This window comes from Homo sapiens, chromosome 8 (assembly GCF_000001405.40).
Source record: "Homo sapiens chromosome 8, GRCh38.p14 Primary Assembly".
Taxonomy (NCBI): domain Eukaryota; kingdom Metazoa; phylum Chordata; class Mammalia; order Primates; family Hominidae; genus Homo; species Homo sapiens.
This window is the reverse complement of record NC_000008.11, coordinates 96,309,718-96,327,061: the sequence shown is the minus strand read 5'-3', so window position 1 is coordinate 96,327,061 and position 17,344 is coordinate 96,309,718. Positions and strand designations below refer to the sequence as shown.

Sequence of the window (17,344 nt, the reverse complement as noted above, 5' to 3'; positions counted from 1 at the left end):
AATTCACCTCCTCCTTTCAATGGGCTTCTCCTATATCCTCCAATCTGTCGCTAGCACTGGTGGCCACCCAGTGGCACCAGTTAGAACCTTTGGAGTGGCACTCAAGTCCCCTCCCAGCTACCACAAGAGGAATGGCATCCTGTTGAGCACATTCCTTAAACAACTCTCAGATCCAGCCCTTCCTCTGCATCTTCAATGCCTCTGCCTTGGTTCAGCTTCAGTTACTTGTCAACTAGGCCTGGCAGCACCTCTGACTGTACTTCTTCCCCCCAACCCATCTTCCCTCTAGACTCTCCCAGCCTCCATGGTGTTTCCCCATGAGACACAGATCAGACCACATTGTTTCCCCGCTTGAAAATTGCTGGGGCTGCAACTACAGCCGCACAAAGCCCTTCCTAAGCAGGGGACCCTGTCCTACTCTTCATCCAACTCTTCACTGTCACTCCTCAAACAGGTCACCACCTTCCTGAGCCACTGGGCACTCTCACAGCTTCCTGTCTTTGTATGTTTGCCCCCCAGCCACCTGCATGTCGCAAGTTTTTGTCTCTTGAACTCACTCCTTTATTCTCCACGAAGCTGCCGAGTGCTTCCTATGCACCAGGCACGGTGCTTGAGACAGTGGGGCCAAAAGATGACTTCAACTTATTCTCTCTGAGCAAGGAGTGCAGTGTGGAGGAGACAGATAGAAAAAAAACAAATTCCACTGCACTGGGGTTAGAACTGAGAGTTACGTACAAAGCACTACTGGTCCCAAGGAGGGAGCTATCTACTTGCCTTGGAGGTCAGAGCATATTTCATGGGGGTCATATGTTTAAGTTGGTTTTGGGGTATCAGTTTCATCATGTAGATAAGGCAGGGAAAGTCTTTCAGATCAGGCAGAGAAAACAGCGTGGGAAGGGCAAAAGAAGTCTGGAAGGATGACTTGTTTAGGTAACTACCAGCAGACAAGTGCAGCCTGAGAATAGAGTACACGTGGGCAGATGTGATGGAATGCTCCCACTATGAAGGTCCTGAACACACAAGCAGATTTCATAATTCATCTGGGAGGTTTCGTGGTGGGGAGCCTTCTTCCTTCTTGAAGTTTCTTCTTGTGTGGAGGAAGCTTCACTGCTTCCCTCCACCCCTCACTCCTTCCCTGGGGAGAAGTCACACCTTGAATGGTGACTAAGGAAGCCGGCATTTCCTGAAAAAGGTGAATTCTCACTAATGAAGATGCTACTCTGATCCCCATAACTTTCCTCTATCTTGCTTATCTCTTACTTATTTTTTAACTCAGGTGGGGAAAAAGATTGTGTTATTGTGCCCTCTCAAGCCCCCAGCCAGAGAGAATGATTCTTAGCAGGGGAAAGAGATTGAGTTCTGAATTTTGGAAGATCATTTTGACAGCAGCATGGAGAATGGATTTGGAGGGCAGAATGGCAAGAAAATGGGTGTCCTGACAGCCGCAGAGGCAGTGGGAATGGAGAGGAGATGGAGTTGAGCTGCATTGTCAAATTAACAGATCTTAGTGACTGGCTGATTCGAAGAGTGATGGAGGACAGGAAGCAGCCTCCAGGTTTTTAGCTGGGGCCTGGGGGGCTGGGGGAAAGCCAGCGGTTCACTGCAACCCTTAAAAATCCTGCTCACATATCACTAAGGAGCCTTCACCAACCCCCAGCATGTCTGTTGCTCTAAGTATCCTTTAGCCTTATGCACACAATCTTTTACAGTATTTATCACATATTAACATAATTAGTTTGCATGTCTAATTGCCATCTGAACTCAGAGATCCTTGGAGGGCAGTGATGAAGAGCAGTTCCCTAGAGAGAATGTCTGGGTTTGAGTCCTGGTTCTGCCACTTAACTACCTATGTGACCTTGGGCAAGTTAGTGAACTTCTTTGTGCCTTTGTTTCCTCATCTGTAAAAGAGGGATAATAAAATACCTTCCCTCAAAGTGTGAAGATCAAATGTGGAATTCATGACAGTGCTTAGAATGGTCTCTGGCACATAGTAGGCACCAGTAAATCTTATCACCGTCATCTATCTGTGTGGCTAGAGCCCCAGGCACAGCACGGAAGAGCACTCAGCAACTGTCTGTGAATGAAGCCCGGACTAAGAGGTCTGTACCAAGTGAAGCAGAGGTCAATGGGAGCATAAGAAATGGTGCATGTCCTCAATAAGTTACAATCACATAGATACAAAGGCTAACCCACAAAAGGAGATATATTCTAAGTGTCAAATAAGTAACAGAAAGTCTCTCTAAAACTTAAAGAGAAATTAGAGGGGTCCCTACAGTCTGAGTGACTGCTATGGTTTGAATGTCCTTGCCAAAACTCTCCTCGAAACTTAACTGCCAACTTAACAGTATTAGGAGGTGGGGCCTTTAAGAGGTGATAGGTCATGAGGGCAAAGCCCTCATGAATGGATTCAGGCTGTTATCTTGGGAGTGGGTTCCTGATAAAAAGGATGAGTTTGGCACTTCCCTCTCTGTCTGGTGCACTTGTTTCTGCCTTCTGCCCTTCCACCATGGGATGACCTCACTGGATGCCATTGCCATACTTTTGGACTTCCCAACCTCCAAAACTGTGAGCAGAATAAACTTATTTTCTTTTGAAATTACCCAGTCTGCAGTATTCTGTTATAGCAACAGAAAATGGACTAAGACAGAAAATCGGTACCAAAAAGTGGGGTGGTTACTATAACAAATACTTGAAAATATGGAAGCAGCTTTTGAACTGGCTAATGGGTAGAGGCTGAAAGAATTTGGAGGAGCAGGCTAGAAAAAGCCTGTATTGCTGTAAAGGGAGCATTACGGGTGATCCTGGTGAGGGCTCAGAAGAAAAGAGGGAAAGCCTCAGTCTTCTTAGAGATTACTTAAGCGTTCCCGACCAGAATGCTGGTAGCAATATGAACAGTCAAGGCCACTCTGATGAGGTCTCAAATGGAAATGAGGAGCAAGGATTGGAAAGTGGAGTAAAGGGCATCCTTGTCACACAGTAGCAAAGACCTTGGCTGAATTGTGTCCATGCCTGAAGGCTTTCTAGAGTGTGCAGCCTGAGGGCAATGAACTAGGATATCTGGTGGAAGACAGCCAAGCAGCAAAGCATTCGGGCTACTGTGTGGCTACTTCTGACTGCATACAATGAGATTCCAGAGGAAGGAAATGACTTAAAGACAATTTAAAATTAAAAGGGAAGCAGAATGGAATAATCTGGAAAATTCAAAGCCTGGCCATGTAAACAGTGAAAAAGCATATTCCAAACACTAAGGGTGGGGCCACGTGGCTGTTAAAGAGATTACCATGGAAAGAAAGAAACCAGGTGCTATTCATCAAGAAAATGTGAGGAAGATCCCTGAAAGCAAAAGCGTTTCAGAGATCTTCAAGGCTGCCCCTCCCATCACAGACCCAGAGCTCTAAGAGGGCAGAATGGTTTTCGGTTACAGGCCTGGGGAGCCCTCCACGGGCTCACTGACCAGGGCTACCTAGGGACTCTACTCCCACATTCTAGCAGAGTGCTCCTTGGCTGCCTTAGCTGTGGCTCAAGTGGGCCTTGGTGTGGCTTGGGCTACCACTCTGGGAGGGATAAGCTATAACCCATGGTGGTGTCCATGTGGTGTTAATTCTGCAGGTATGCAAAACGCAAGAGCTGTGGAGGCCATGGCTTCCTCCACCTAGATTTCAAAGGATGCGGCGAACTGCCTAGAAGTCTAGGCAAAAACCTGCCACAGGGGCAGTGCCACTGCAGAGAGCCAATACTAGGGCAATGCCAAGGAGAAATGTGGGGTTGGAGCCACCAGAGAGGAGCAGTGGCAGCAGGGTCATCCCCAACACCACAGAACTGTAGGGTTGCCAGTGTGCAACTCCCGCCTGGAAGAACTGAAGCACTGGCTGAACCCGGCACAGCCACAGGGGTGGAGCTGCCAGGCCTGGGGGCCCAACTCCTGCCCCAGGCCAGGACACAGAACATAAAGTCAAAGGAGATTATTCTCCAGCTTTAAGATGTAATGTTTCCCTGTTGGGTTCTGTACTTACTTGGGACTGCTTATCCCTTTTTTCTTGCCCATTTCTCCCTTTCAGATTTGCAATGTCTATCCTATGCCTGTCCCATTATTGTATTGTGGAAGTAGACGACCTGTGTGATTTCACAGGCTCACAGCTGGCATAGTTCTTCTTGGCTGTGGCTCAAGTGGACCTTGGTGTGGCTTGAGCTACCACTCTGGAAGGTATAGGCCAGAAACTGCGGTGGTGTCCAAGTGGGGTTAATTCACCTCAGGACGAATTGTGCCTTGACTGTCACTCATATCTGATTTAGATGAGACTCTGAACTTTGGAGTTGATGCTGGGCCAAGTGAAGACTTTTGGGACTACTGGCATGAAATGAATGTATTTCGTATGTGAGAAGCGGGGGTCAGGGGTGGAATGCTATGGCTTGAATGTCCCTGCCAAAACTCATGTTGATACTTAGCTGTCAATGTAATGATATTGGGAGGTGGGGCCTTTAAGACATGATTAGGTCATGAGGAGTGCACCCCATAAATGGACTGATGCTATTATTGCAGGAGTGGGATTGTTATCACAGGAGCGTGTTAGTGATTTAGTGATCGTGGGAGTGGGTTCCTGATAAGAAGGGTAAGTCCGGCCCACCTCCTGCTGTCTTACATGCTCACTTCCCCCTTCTGCCCTTCCATCATGGGGTGACCCTTGCCAGATACTGGTACCACGCTCTTGGACTTCCCAGCTGTCAGAACCGTGAGCCAAATAAAGTACTGTGATTTAATTTCTCTGTAAATTACCAAGCCCATGGTATTCTGTTATAGCAACAGAAAATGGACTAAGACAGGGACCAGAGAGGGCTGCCTGGGTAGGTGGCCTGAGAAGACCTTTCTGGTCACTGCTGCCCAGGGGGCAGTGGTGGGGAGGCAGCTGGGAGGCCTGTGATTTGCTGTGGTGAGGAGGGCTGTCTGTCTTGTCCTGGGAGTCCTGCCTGTCTCACCCTCCCTGTGGGCGGGTGGTTCTCTGGTACCCGGTGAAGAGGGCACCCACCTCTGCCCCCTGCAGTCAGGTCCTATTACAATTCAGACTTGAGGTGCACAGGCCAGAGACATATCTGAGAAGAGCATAGTGAAAATCTCTGGGCATGTCTGACACATTTCCCTAACCGATTCCTTACATCTGGTCTCACTGACATGAAAAAATATACTTGGGCATTAATTCTGTAGTTTAAATACAAAGGAGATCATTATTCCCTTTTATTGTTCAAGATGAAACAGGACAGAACAGGCTCACTGTGCCTTGGTACAGTTAGGATTTCTAACAAGTAACCCTAAAAATAGATCCCGTTAAAGGCGATAAAAGACACGTTAAAAATACAAAGGTTAGTCTTGCCAAAAAAGAGAAAAGAAAAGAAAAAAACTAGACCCAAATGTGATTAAGCCTCTAGATCCAATTACCGACTTACAGAAAATACAGAGGACAAAGAAATATGTTAAATTACAAGATACGATAAAATCAGTAAAATCCAGACTGTGGGAAAATCTATAGGACAAAAGGGCTGCTTTCTTCAACCGATAAATTACGAGGGAAAGAGGGTTAGCGATAGAGGAAAACCTATGGATTCAGAGACTTAAAAGGCATGCCAACCAATCACGATGGGTGAATGTGGATTCAAATATATTGTTAAACAAATACAACCTTTAAGAAAAGGTTAGTAATTTGAACACTGATTAGGTATTTGATGATATTAAGGAATTACTGTTAATTCTTTTTTAGATATGATAATGGTAGGGTGGTTGCATTAAACCGAAAAAGTATCCTGAGCTTCTTTTAGTGATCCATCCTGAAATATTAAAGGTGGATCTGTTTCAAAATAAGTTAGGGTTGGGGCAGTGAGTACAACATAAGAGGAAACACAATTGGCCCTGAGTTGATAACCGATGATGGGTTCATGAGGGGCCATCTATCCTCTCTATTTGCACATGTCTGAAATTTTCTATGATTATTTAAAAAGCCCAATACATTTTCTAGACTAAGTGAAAAATCTTAAGCTTAAATATAAAATAAGAACTTTTCTTCAAAATAATAACTTCAAATATTTAAATGAAGAATGGCAGTTACAAAATGTGTAAGTGGGTACTATCTTACTTCATTTGAAAGGTGAGGGAAGAGCCCCAGGGCAAAAGAACCAAGGCTTAGGCTGGTGTCCCTACAGGCTCTTCCCTTCAGAGCGGAAGGTGATATCCAGGCTTGGGTTATAACGTGGACCTGGAGGGCAGAAATTGCAGGATCGAATTATCTTCCAAAACATATTTTATTGCCTATGAATGACCATATGTCCTTTTATATATAAATCCATGTGCAATGATATGTAGGTTAAGATGTATGCGGCATGATGATGAGAAAGCAAAGTGCACTGTGATCTTTCTTGTCCTTTCATGGTGGTCCCTAAATGCATAGCACATGCAGACAAATTCTCGTGAGTCAAGGAAATGCACGTGGGGTGTACCTGTCGAAGGCGTTTGACTGGAATCTGCTGAGGTGACCTATTTCAGATACTGTGTAGCTGTGTCTTACTCTTGAAATTAGGCTGGTGGCCAGTCTCAGACAATTACAAGTAGAACATCTTTTTATGAATTTCTAAGGAACTTTGATACACAAGAGGGTTTCTTTGCCCCCCTCCGTTTAAAGTGATACTATGAGAGTTTAGCTAATGCCTTTGGGTAAAATGCAGTGACTTACCACGCAAAGAAGCCAAAGCACAACATAGAGTATTTGGGTCTTAGAGAAGAGATCTTGTCCAAATTTTATGCAAACAATGGCCTCCAGGAAACCAATGACCCTAATTAGACAGAGAACAGAGGTTAAGTATTAATCCATCTTACCAGAGCATACACTTTATCCAAAATATGCATGATTGAATGAAAAAGTTCAACTCATCATGCGATTTCTGCCTCAAACACTGGTAGCAGGTACCCCACAAAATAACACTGTTCAAGCCAACTGCATTTACTTCGGAAATAATAAAGTATTTTTCACCTCTTCCTTCTTCCCAGACCGAAATTGTGACTCATAAATTTTAATAGCTAGGGGCACTGGCATCACCTAACTCAGCACCTCCACTGCCATAAGGGTGGGTGATCACGCCGCCTCTGCTGGAACCCTCTCAGGCACAGGGAAACTACTACCTTTGCAAGGTGGCTTATTTTTCTGGTCAAACTCTTCAGCAGTTAGGAAGTTTTTCCTTGTCACAGGCTGGTATCTGCCTCCTATACCTCCTACCCTGGGTCCTAACATTACCCTAGCATGTCGCAGGTGAGAAAGCATCATTTCAGTGGAGGAACCTAGAAGGCTTTTTCACTGTAGTTCTGAAGTCTAGACTGTGATTAAGAGGCTAGGTGGCTGCCACACAGGGTGAGTTTGACCCTTCCAAGAGAGTCTTTCAATAATTTGAAGGCATTAATCACATTCCTTCCCAGCCTTCTAAGAATTTCCAGATGAAATAGCCCCCGTTTTTGGTGAAAATATAAACCCTTTACCTTCTCTTGATCTGTAAAAGATTGTGCTAAATACAAATTTTTTGTTTTTTTTTAAGAAACGCCACACACTTATTTCCCCTTTAAAACATTAAAAAAAGTCACTCTTGTGTTCTGTATCTTCATTTATGACTATAAAAATCAGGCCTTTCTAAAGGTTCAGGACTTGGAGGTAAGAATGGATGAGGTGAGGTTGACATAGTTGGCCATGAGATCCCAGGCAGCATATGAATACTGATTTTAGACAAGTCCATTTTATGCATTCCTTGCTCAAGATGAGATCTGTACACTCCATGAATGGTGTACTCACACAGATGTTTTCTAAAAAGGCAAGAAGGGGCAGGGCATGGTGGCTCATGTCTGTGATCTCGGCACTTTGGGAGGCTGAGGCGAGCGGATCACTTGAACTCAGGAGTTCAAGACCAGCCTGACCAAGATGGTAAAACCCCATCTCTGCCAATAATACAAAAATTAGCCAGGCGTGGTGGCACACACCTGTAGTCCCAGCTACTCGGGAGGCTGAGGCAGGAGAATCACTTGAGCCTGAGAAGTGGAGGAGGTTGTGGTAAGCCAAGATGGCACCACTGCACTCCAGCCTGGGCGACAGAGTGAGGCTCTGCCTCAAAAAAAAAAAAAAAAAAAAAAAAAAGGCAAGAAGGGGCCAAGAAGGCCCTTGGTACCCCTGCTTACTGGCAGACATAGTGGTCACTGCCATCATCAAAAGTGTAGATGGCTCTAAACAACTGAAGGTCTAAATGCCTGGAGTTAGAACCACTTCAGCAAAGCAGAAAAATCAACAGAAATTCTCCTCAATTTGTCTTTAGAGAGTCTGGGGCTGTCTTTTCCCCTAGCCCGAACCAAAACAAGGTTTAAGAGTGGTTGGCTTGAATCTTTAAAGCACTGCTCCACAAAGCATGTCACATGTGAGAAAGTATCATTTCAGTGGAGGAACCCAGAAGGTTTTCTCACTGTACTTCTAAAGTCTAGACTGTGATTAAGACGCTAGGTGGCAGTTACATGTTTGGTATTCCAGCCTGTGCAGTGAGGAGACATAAAAAGGATGATTTCATCTTTGGCTCGGACTTCGTGAATAACTCCTATGATGGGAGTGTTGAGCCCAGGACATAAGTGTGATTATCTACCCATAAGCCGGACAGAACACCCTGAGTTTATTATGAAAGATTTCTGAATATTCAACTAGACTTGAGGCCCTCTATCTTTTTTTTTTTAAATAGAGTCTAGCTCTGTCACCCAGGCTGGAGTGCAGTGGTGCAATCGCGGCTCACTGCAACCTCCGCCTCCCGGTTCAAGCAATTCTACTGCCTCAACCTCCCGAGTAGCTGGGACTACAGGCGCCTGCCACCACACCCAGCTAATTTTTGTATTTTTAGTAGAGGCGGGGTTTCACCATGTTGGCCAGGCTGGTCACCAACTCCTCATCTCAAATGATCCACCCACCTCAGCCTCCCAAAGTGCTGGGATTACAGGCATGAGCCAGCCTGAGGGCCCTTTTAAAAGCATGCTGATTGGCCGACTAAAGCTGTGTTTCTCAAACTTTTGTGATCTAAGACCCATTAAGAACCATAGCAAGAAACACAATTTTCACTGTGATCCAGTATACGCATGCGTGTACACACACACACACACACACACACACACACACACACACACACTGAAACAAAAGCTTCATAAGACAATTTGCATCTTTATTCTGATATTTTTCTATTCTGTTTCATTTTAAGAAAATACTGGCCAGAACCCAATCACTGGCTTCATAATGACCTAAAGTTTTTTCTGTTTTTTTGTTTTAATTTTTTGAGACCGGCCCTGACTCCATTGCCCAGGCTGGAATGCAGTGGCACAATCTTGGCTCATGGCAACCTCCACTTCCCAGGCTCAAGCAATTCTTCTACCTCAGCCTCCCGAGTAGCCGGGACTACAGGCTCACGGCACTACGCCCAGCTAATTTTTGTATTTTTTGTAGAGACGGGGTTTTACCGTGTTACCCTGATTGGTCTCGAACTCCTGAGCTCAAGTGATCCACCCACCTCAGCTTCCCAAAGTGCTAGGATTACAGGTATGAGCCACTGCACCTGGTCAACCTGAAGTTTTTCTGAAGACCGTGCTTTTGAGTTAGCAACTTAAGGATATGATTTGTGCCAATGTGCTGAGGAGTCTTAGCTAAGCCATTGTCCGTGTGTGTGGGCACATCTCATGAGAAGGTGGCTAGGAGGAGGTGAGGGGGCCGGCTATGGGATTACATAAGTGTGGAGAGTCCCAGACTGAGGCCTGGGCATGGGAAAGGCACAAGGAAGGGCCAGGAATCAGGGGAAAGGGCTGAGTTGAGGTCAGGGTAACATGGACCTGGAAGGCCACCCGTAGGCTTGGCTTTTAGTCTGAGGGGATCCTAGAGGGTCTAGAGCAGAGGGTTTAATACAGTCTTCTCTCTCTCTGTCTCTCTCTCTCTCCATATATATATACACACACACACACATATATATATACACACATATATATAGACACATATATATATACACATACATATATATATATATATTTAGACGGAGTCTCACTCTGTCACCCAGGCTAGAGTGCAGTGGTGCAATCTCAGCTCACTGCAACCTCTACCTCCTGGGTTCAAGTGATTCTCCTGCCTCAGCCTACTGAGTAGCTGGGACTACAGGCGTGTGCCACCACACCTGGCTAATTTTTTGTATTTTTAGTAGAGATGGAGTTTCACCATGTTGGCCAGGATGGTCTTGACCTCCTGACCTCGTGATCCGCCCACCTTGGCCTCCCAAAGTGCTTGGGATTACAGGAGTGAGCCACTTCGCCTGGCCAGTTTGCTTAATGTTTTTTTAAAATTTTTTTCAGCTTTTATTTTACATACAGGGGGTACATGTGTAGGAATGCTACATGGGTATATTGGACCCAGGTAGTGAGCGTAGCACCCAGCAAGTAGTTTTCCCACCCATGCCCCGCTTCCTCCCTCCCTAGTAGTCAGCAGTGTCTATTACTCTGATGTTTATGTCCATGTGTACTCAATGTTTAGCTCCCACTTTTAAGTGAGCATATGCGGTTTTTGGTTTTCTTTTCCTGCTTAGGATTATGGCCTCCAGCTGCACCCATGTTGCTACAAAGGACATGATCCCATTCTTTTTTATGGCTGTGTATTATTCCATGGTGTCTATGTACCACATTTGCTTTATCCAGTCCACCACTGATGGGCACTAGGTGGATTCCATGTCTTTGCTATTGTGAACAGCATGGTGATGAACATTCGAGAACCTTCTGCTGGCTGAACAGAACTCTGTGAGAAGACAAGAGCAGAAGCAGGGAGGCTACTGTACTCATCCAGACATGGGGACCCGGGTCAGGGCTGTGGAGATGGTGAGAAGTGGTAGGAACCCAACGATCACATGGGCTCCTTTAACCACCAGCCATCGCCCCCACCATTACCTCTGGCCCACTGGAGGGAGTTCCAATCAACAGCACCCTTCCAGAAGGCTGACATTACTTTTCTACCAAGACTCAAAGAGTGGCTAGTTTAGGGCTGAGGCTGGAGGCTTCAGCACAGCGGGAGCCTGTATTAAGCCTGCCAGTGTGAGAACACATACCTCCTCCTACTTCCTCACCCCCAGGGGTGCTGGGGTTTCCTCCGCACAGCTCAGCAATAGGTCCCTTTACTCAGTTCAATTTAAATCTCTCTGATCTTTCCCAGGCTAAGCTAGGTGGACAAATTGTGGCTTAATGGAATTCAGTCAGGGCCTCCACTCCCTTTGATGCCATCCACCATCCTGTATCTTGGTTTAGCAGGGTTAAAAGGCAAATAAACATTTGGGCAGCCTGAGGTGCTTCTGCTGGGAGCAGGCACTAGAGATTCCTGACCTAGGGCTGGTTACTGGTGCACATACTCCCAGCACCCCCGACTTGTGGAGCCAGTTCCACAATGTGGGAAAAAAGATGATGTTAATGTAGAGCCCAGAGTCAGGAGCTCTTCGGTGAGTTGAGTGGAACAGGCATGGTGGCAGGGTTGTTGTAGGAATCTGGGGCATGAAAGCTCTAGGCTCGTGTGTGTGAGCTGGGTGTATGAGCCAAACTTGAGAAGCAGAAGAAGAGATTTTGGCTTGCCAACAAGCCTGCACGTGGATTCTGAGGATGCCACAGGAATGCCATGGACATGGAGGCCGGGTACCTGGCTGCTGCATCCCACACGCACTGCTCCATGGCTGCACAAGCAATCCCTGGATGGCTGAGAGTGTGGGAGACCCCCTCTCCTGGCAGCCAGGGCCCAGCCTCCAATAGTGGAAATGAGATGTGTATCCATGTTAACTCAATGACCACACAATCACACAGGATGCCAGGAAGGGTCCTCCAAGTTCAGGAGTGAGCTTCTAGTTCTGATTAGGGTGGGCAAAGACACCTTTTTGGAGGAAGCAAGAGCTAAGTGTGGCATAAACAATAGATACAATTCCTATTGTGCTCCTGTCAACTTTCTAACTTCCAAAGAATCCCCGGCACAAGGAGGGAAGGGGAGAAGCGGGTCTTGGATGGCAAACTCAGAACTGTTCTGCTTACTCGTTTAGATACTTAGTAGGATTTGGGGCAAGATGCCATTTGAAGAAAGGGGATCGGCTGCTAAAAAAAAGCTTTGTAGGCCAGGCGTGGTGGCTCACGCCTGTAATCCCAGCACTTTGGGAGGCTGAGGTGGGCGGATCACGAGGTCAGGAGATCGAGACCATCCTGGCTAACATGGTGAAACCCCGTCTCTACTAAAAATACAAAAAATTAGCCAGGCGAGGTGACGGGCACCTGTAGTCCCAGCTACTCAGGACGCTGAGGCAGGAGAACGGCATGAACCCGGGAGGCGGAGCTTGCAGTGAGCCGAGATGGCACCACTGCACTCCAGCCTGGGCGACAGAGTGAGACTCCATCTCAAATGTAACTACTGTCAGAGCTTCTGAGATGTCAGTGGAGGTGCACTTGAGTGCAGGGGGTGGGGTGTGGCAAGATAAAGGGAGGATGAACAGACACAGTCACGAGGAGAAGGGGAACTGGCTATAAAGCTATACCAGCAGGACGGCGGTGACTCCCCTGTGCTGGGAAGGGACCCCCCTCCCAACATCTGTTCCCCTGTGTTTGCACCCTCTCCCTAGAAGGAAGCTCATGCTCATAGTTGCATCTACCCTTAAGACAGACAGTCTAGGCTGCGTGCCGTGGCCAATGCCTGTAATCCCATCACTTTGAGAGGTCAAGGTGGGAGGACTGCTTGAGTCCAGGAGTTCAAGACCAGCCTGGGCAACATGGTGAAACCCTGTCTCTACAAAAACTAAAATATAATTAGCTGGACATTGTGGTGTGTGCCTATAGTCCCAGCTACTTAGGAGGCTGATGTGGGAGGATTGCTTGAGTCTGGGAGGTCAAGGCTGCAGTGAGCTGTGATCACTGCCACTCAACTCCAGCCTGGGCAACACAGCAAGACCCTGTCTCAAAAGAAATAAAATTTAAAAAGAAAGAAAGCCTGAACTATGGGCCTGGAAGAACAAAAGAACAAAACCACAATTATGAGAAATTGTAAGGAGGAGAGAGGGGTAGAATGGGAAGCCAGCAAAGGGAACTGAAAACAGAAAAGTGAGAGGAAATACAGGACAGATATTGCAGAGGAAAGAGGACAGTTTCAAGAAGGCAGATAATGTGCAGAAGATCCAAGAAGAGGATGAGGAAAGGACTGGCTGGTTTGGAGCTGACCTTGGAGAGCAGCAGAGGTGGGAACTTATTGTGATGGACACATTAGCAGAGGTGGGATCACAGGCAGCGAGGAAACTGGTCGGGTGAGGAGCAGCTCTGGCTGCCTCTGGGAGGCAGGATGCAGCCCTGGGCCCTCAGGCAGGGTAGGCTCACTCTCCCATGAGGGCCCACCCCATGCACTCCCAGGAAGAGGAAAAGCAACTGTGCACTGCTGTTCAGCCGACGCTTGGCCACCTTCCTCCCAGGACCAGGCGATAAAACACTGCTTCTATTTAAACTGGGCCAATACTCTCTTTTTGAGGCAGAGAAGCTCAATTCTAATCAGGGTGGAATGGGGAAAAGACAAAGATGACATAAACCCCACACCTGGAGAATTTGTTCACATCAGTCTGGCCCCAAAACTCCCACCGAGCTGAAGGAACATCATGTGACATCTAAATAGAGAAACAGCCGACCTTTCCACACGGCTGCTTTCTCTCTGTTAGGGATCCCATTCCCTTGCTGGATGGCGCCCTCTCTCTGCTGAGTGCAACACCTTTCGTATAAAAGGTTTAAAAGCTCAGTCTATGGCACAACCGTTAGGGATGACATGTATTTAGCTACAATAGCAAGTAATTCATAAAAACATTTTGAGGATACCATCTTTATAGAAGAGAAAGTACCCTCTTCAGGAGAAAAAGGGTGGAGTGCTGGGAAAGAACCCCAGGCGGGTGATCCTATTTGACCTTTGCCTTCCCCTTTCTACCTCCCAAAAGGCAACATTCAGAAAGTCACTATTTAAGGCACTGCTCCCTCTCATTTCTCCACCTTACCAAAGTCTGAGATCATTCCAAAATTAGTGAAAAGAAAGCTATAAAGCAGCTATTAGTGATTAAAGGAAACCACACACTTCAGTGTTTTCTGTTTTGATAGGAGAGGAAATAATGACAAAATGGCAGGGAGGTAGAGCTGGGGCAGAGGAAGGAAGTGGGTGGCCTCCGGGGTCAGGAGAGCAGGAGGCTGTGGCTCCTGTTTCACCTTCCCTGGCTGGCAGTGGACTGTGCAGGGGGCAGCTCTCACGGCTGTTCACGCACACAGGAGGATCCACTGGGTGTGATTTATGAGGAGGGCTTTATTATTTTTCAGCATAGCTCACTGGTTCTCACAAGAGTCTTCAATCTCGGTATCACACTGTTCCGGGAGTTCTCAATTCTCAGTAAAGCACACTAAGCCCAGTGATCTCTCCTTTGCATTTCAGTATATTTTAATCACTTTCAAATAAGGCACAACTTTCTGGGGCAGTGTTTACCACTCTTTGGCATTGTTTACTTTTTTCCTTTTTTTTTTAAAAAAAAAAAAAAAGAGAGAGACAGGGTCTTGCTCTGTCATCCGGGTGGGAGTGCAGAGGCACAATCATAGCTCAATGCAGGCTTGACCTCCTTGACATCCTGGGTTCAAGTGATCCTCCTGCCTCAGCCTCCACAGTAGCAGACTACAGGCATGTGCCATCATGCCTGGTTAACTTAAAAAACTTTTTGTGGAGACAACGTCTCGCTATGTTACCCAGGCTAGTCTCAAACTCCGGGCGTCAAGCGATCCTCCCACCTCAGCCTCCTGGATTGCTGAGATTACAGGCGTGAGCCGCCATAGTGGAGTTTACCTTTGCCGTTTCTCCCACCGTGGGGATGGTGTTTCATGGCTGTCCAATTAGAAAGAAACTTTGTCATGATGCGACCTCTCTCTCTGACCCACTTATTTCCCTCAACACGTAAATCGATACAATTCTGTGGAAAAAAAATCCACTCCACAGCAGAATAATAGGACCTTGCTAAGGACTTTTAAATATGAAAGCAAAATGCACGTGGAAAGAATGTGTGAGTGGGACAGAAGAGCTCAAATGCAGGAAAAGGAAAGACCATTTCCTCCTTGGACAATCCTTTAGAAGGAGGGGCCCACATCCCTTCTTCCAGTACACAGGGCCCTCACACATGAAGCGGGAGCGCCACCTCTGCGCTGTCAGAAATCTGGGAGATGTGTGAATTCTCCCTCCTGCTATATCATGAACAAAGGAAACCAAATCCATCTTATCACCTTTTACAACAAACCACTTTGGGTAAGAAAATCAGCTTACACCATAGAACCTAAGAGAAACAAATGACAATGGCCCTTAGTCTTCTAAGGGTCGGGAGGAACCTGCCTAAATCTAACCTGAGTATCAACATTTTTAGCCTTTAAAACTATGTCACCCTTCAGAATCTAGATGACAGCTGGAAACACACACACACATACACAGAAAAATGGAAAGGAATGACATTAAAATATTAACAATGATTATCTCTAAATGGTTGACTTCTTTGGGTGATCTTTAGTTCCTTCTAGATCCTTTTCTGAATTTTTATCATTGTGCATGTATTACTTTTTAATTGGAAGAATGTCCTGTTTAAAAATCTGTGAAAAGTAATTTCTTCTCTATAATGGGTTTTCCTCAATTTTTCTTTATACTCTCATACTCCATTTAGAACCTCGATTAGGTCTTGAAGCTAAGCCACCTTGGGGATTGAACTTCATGTACAGATTTGCTGGATGTCTCTGGAATTTCAGTCACTAAATGGGATGGTAAATTGTTGCTGATGTTAAGTAGAAAAACAACTTACTTGAGATATTCAAGAGGGTCTCACATTTAACAGCAAGAGGTTAAACTAGATAACCTAAGGTCTCTTTCTCATCAGTTAAATAATAAATTAAAATATAACATTTAAGGCCGGGCGCAGTGGCTCAAGCCTGTAATCCCAGCACTTTGGGAGGCAGAAGGTGGGTGGATCACGAGGTTCAAGAAATCGAGACCATCCTGGCCAACATGGTGAAACCCCATCTCTACTAAAAATACAAAAATTAGCTGGGTGTGGTGGCACGCGCCTGTAGTCCCAGCTACTTGGGGGACTGAGGCAGGAGAATCGCTTGAACCTGGGAGGCGGAGGTTGCAGTGAGCCGAGATCACGCCACTGTACTCCAGCCTGGCGACAGAACACTCCGTCTCAAAAAGAAAAAAAAAAAGATATAACATTTGAATCCATAACAAGACCATTGTGACCATGCTGCTGTATGTTAGTACTCTTTGGAACAATAAAATTATACTTCAGTATATAGCAAGCAGCTGTTCCAAGGGGCCCTTTTGATGTGACAATAATATGGGGTGTGGGTCAGCCCATGACAGGATGGCATTCCAAACTCAAGATACATCCAGAAGGAATGCAACCAATCCATTTTCTCTCTAATGTATTTCATAAAACAAAGTCTCAGAGTTGTTTGTGGGAAATACCATCTGATTTCCTAATTTATTTAAAAAAAAAAAAAGAGAGCCAAGGCCGGGTGCGGTGGCTCATGCCTGTAATCCCAGCACTTTGGGAGGCCAAGGGGGTCAGATCATGAGGTCAGAGTTAGAAACCAGCCTGACCAACACGGTGAAACCCCGTCTCTACTGAAAATACAAAACTTAGTAGGGTGTGGTGGTGCGCACCTGTAATCCCAGCTACTTGGGAGGCTGAGGCAGGAGAATCACTTGAGCCCAGAAGGCAGAGGTTGCAGTGAGCCGAGATCATGCCACTGCCCTCCAGCCTGGGACAGAGTGAGACTCCATCTCAAAAAAAAAAAAAAAGAGAGAGATCCATTTCTTTTTGTCTGTTTGTTTTTTAACATGGAGTCTCACTCTATCGCCCAGGCTGGAGTGCAGTGCAGTGGCGTGACTTTGGCTCACTGAAACCTCAGCCTCCCGGGTTCAAGCGATTCTCCTGCCTCAGCCTCAACCAGCTAATTTTTGTACTTTTAGTAGAGACAGGGTTTCGCCATGTTGACCAGGTTAGTCTCGAATTCCTGGGCTCAAGTGATCCGCCCACCTCGGGCTCCCAAAGTGATAGGATTACAGGCATGAGCCACTGCACCCGGCCAAAATAAGAGAGCCATTTCTATACTCTTGTTTTATAATTTGCCAAGTAACTATTCTTAACTTAAATCAGAAAAGGGAATATTAAAGATGAAAAGATATATCTATGTATATATAGATATAGATATAGATATATAAAATCTAGTCCACCTGTCTTCATAGAAAAA

General features: G+C 46.1%; 1 protein-coding gene across 2 annotated transcripts in view, besides 1 other annotated feature; it reads right to left on the bottom strand.

Annotated features, from left to right (window-relative positions):
* The window catches only part of PTDSS1 (phosphatidylserine synthase 1), a 75,094-nt gene that overhangs the window by 9,934 nt on the left and 47,816 nt on the right, over positions 1 to 17,344 (bottom strand). For both annotated transcript variants that reach the window (NM_014754.3, NM_001290225.2), the window contains one exon: positions 6,717 to 6,816. In NM_014754.3, coding sequence (NP_055569.1) covers positions 6,717 to 6,816 — 100 coding nt within the window. The remainder of the gene's footprint in view (positions 1 to 6,716; positions 6,817 to 17,344) is intronic.
* Positions 14,151 to 14,210: an enhancer, noted in NCBI's record as "active region_27664". NCBI's record gives its function as "activates an Ori minimal core promoter by ATAC-STARR-seq in GM12878 lymphoblastoid cells {active_cell/tissue: GM12878}" and the evidence as "EXISTENCE:reporter gene assay evidence [ECO:0000049][PMID:35858748]".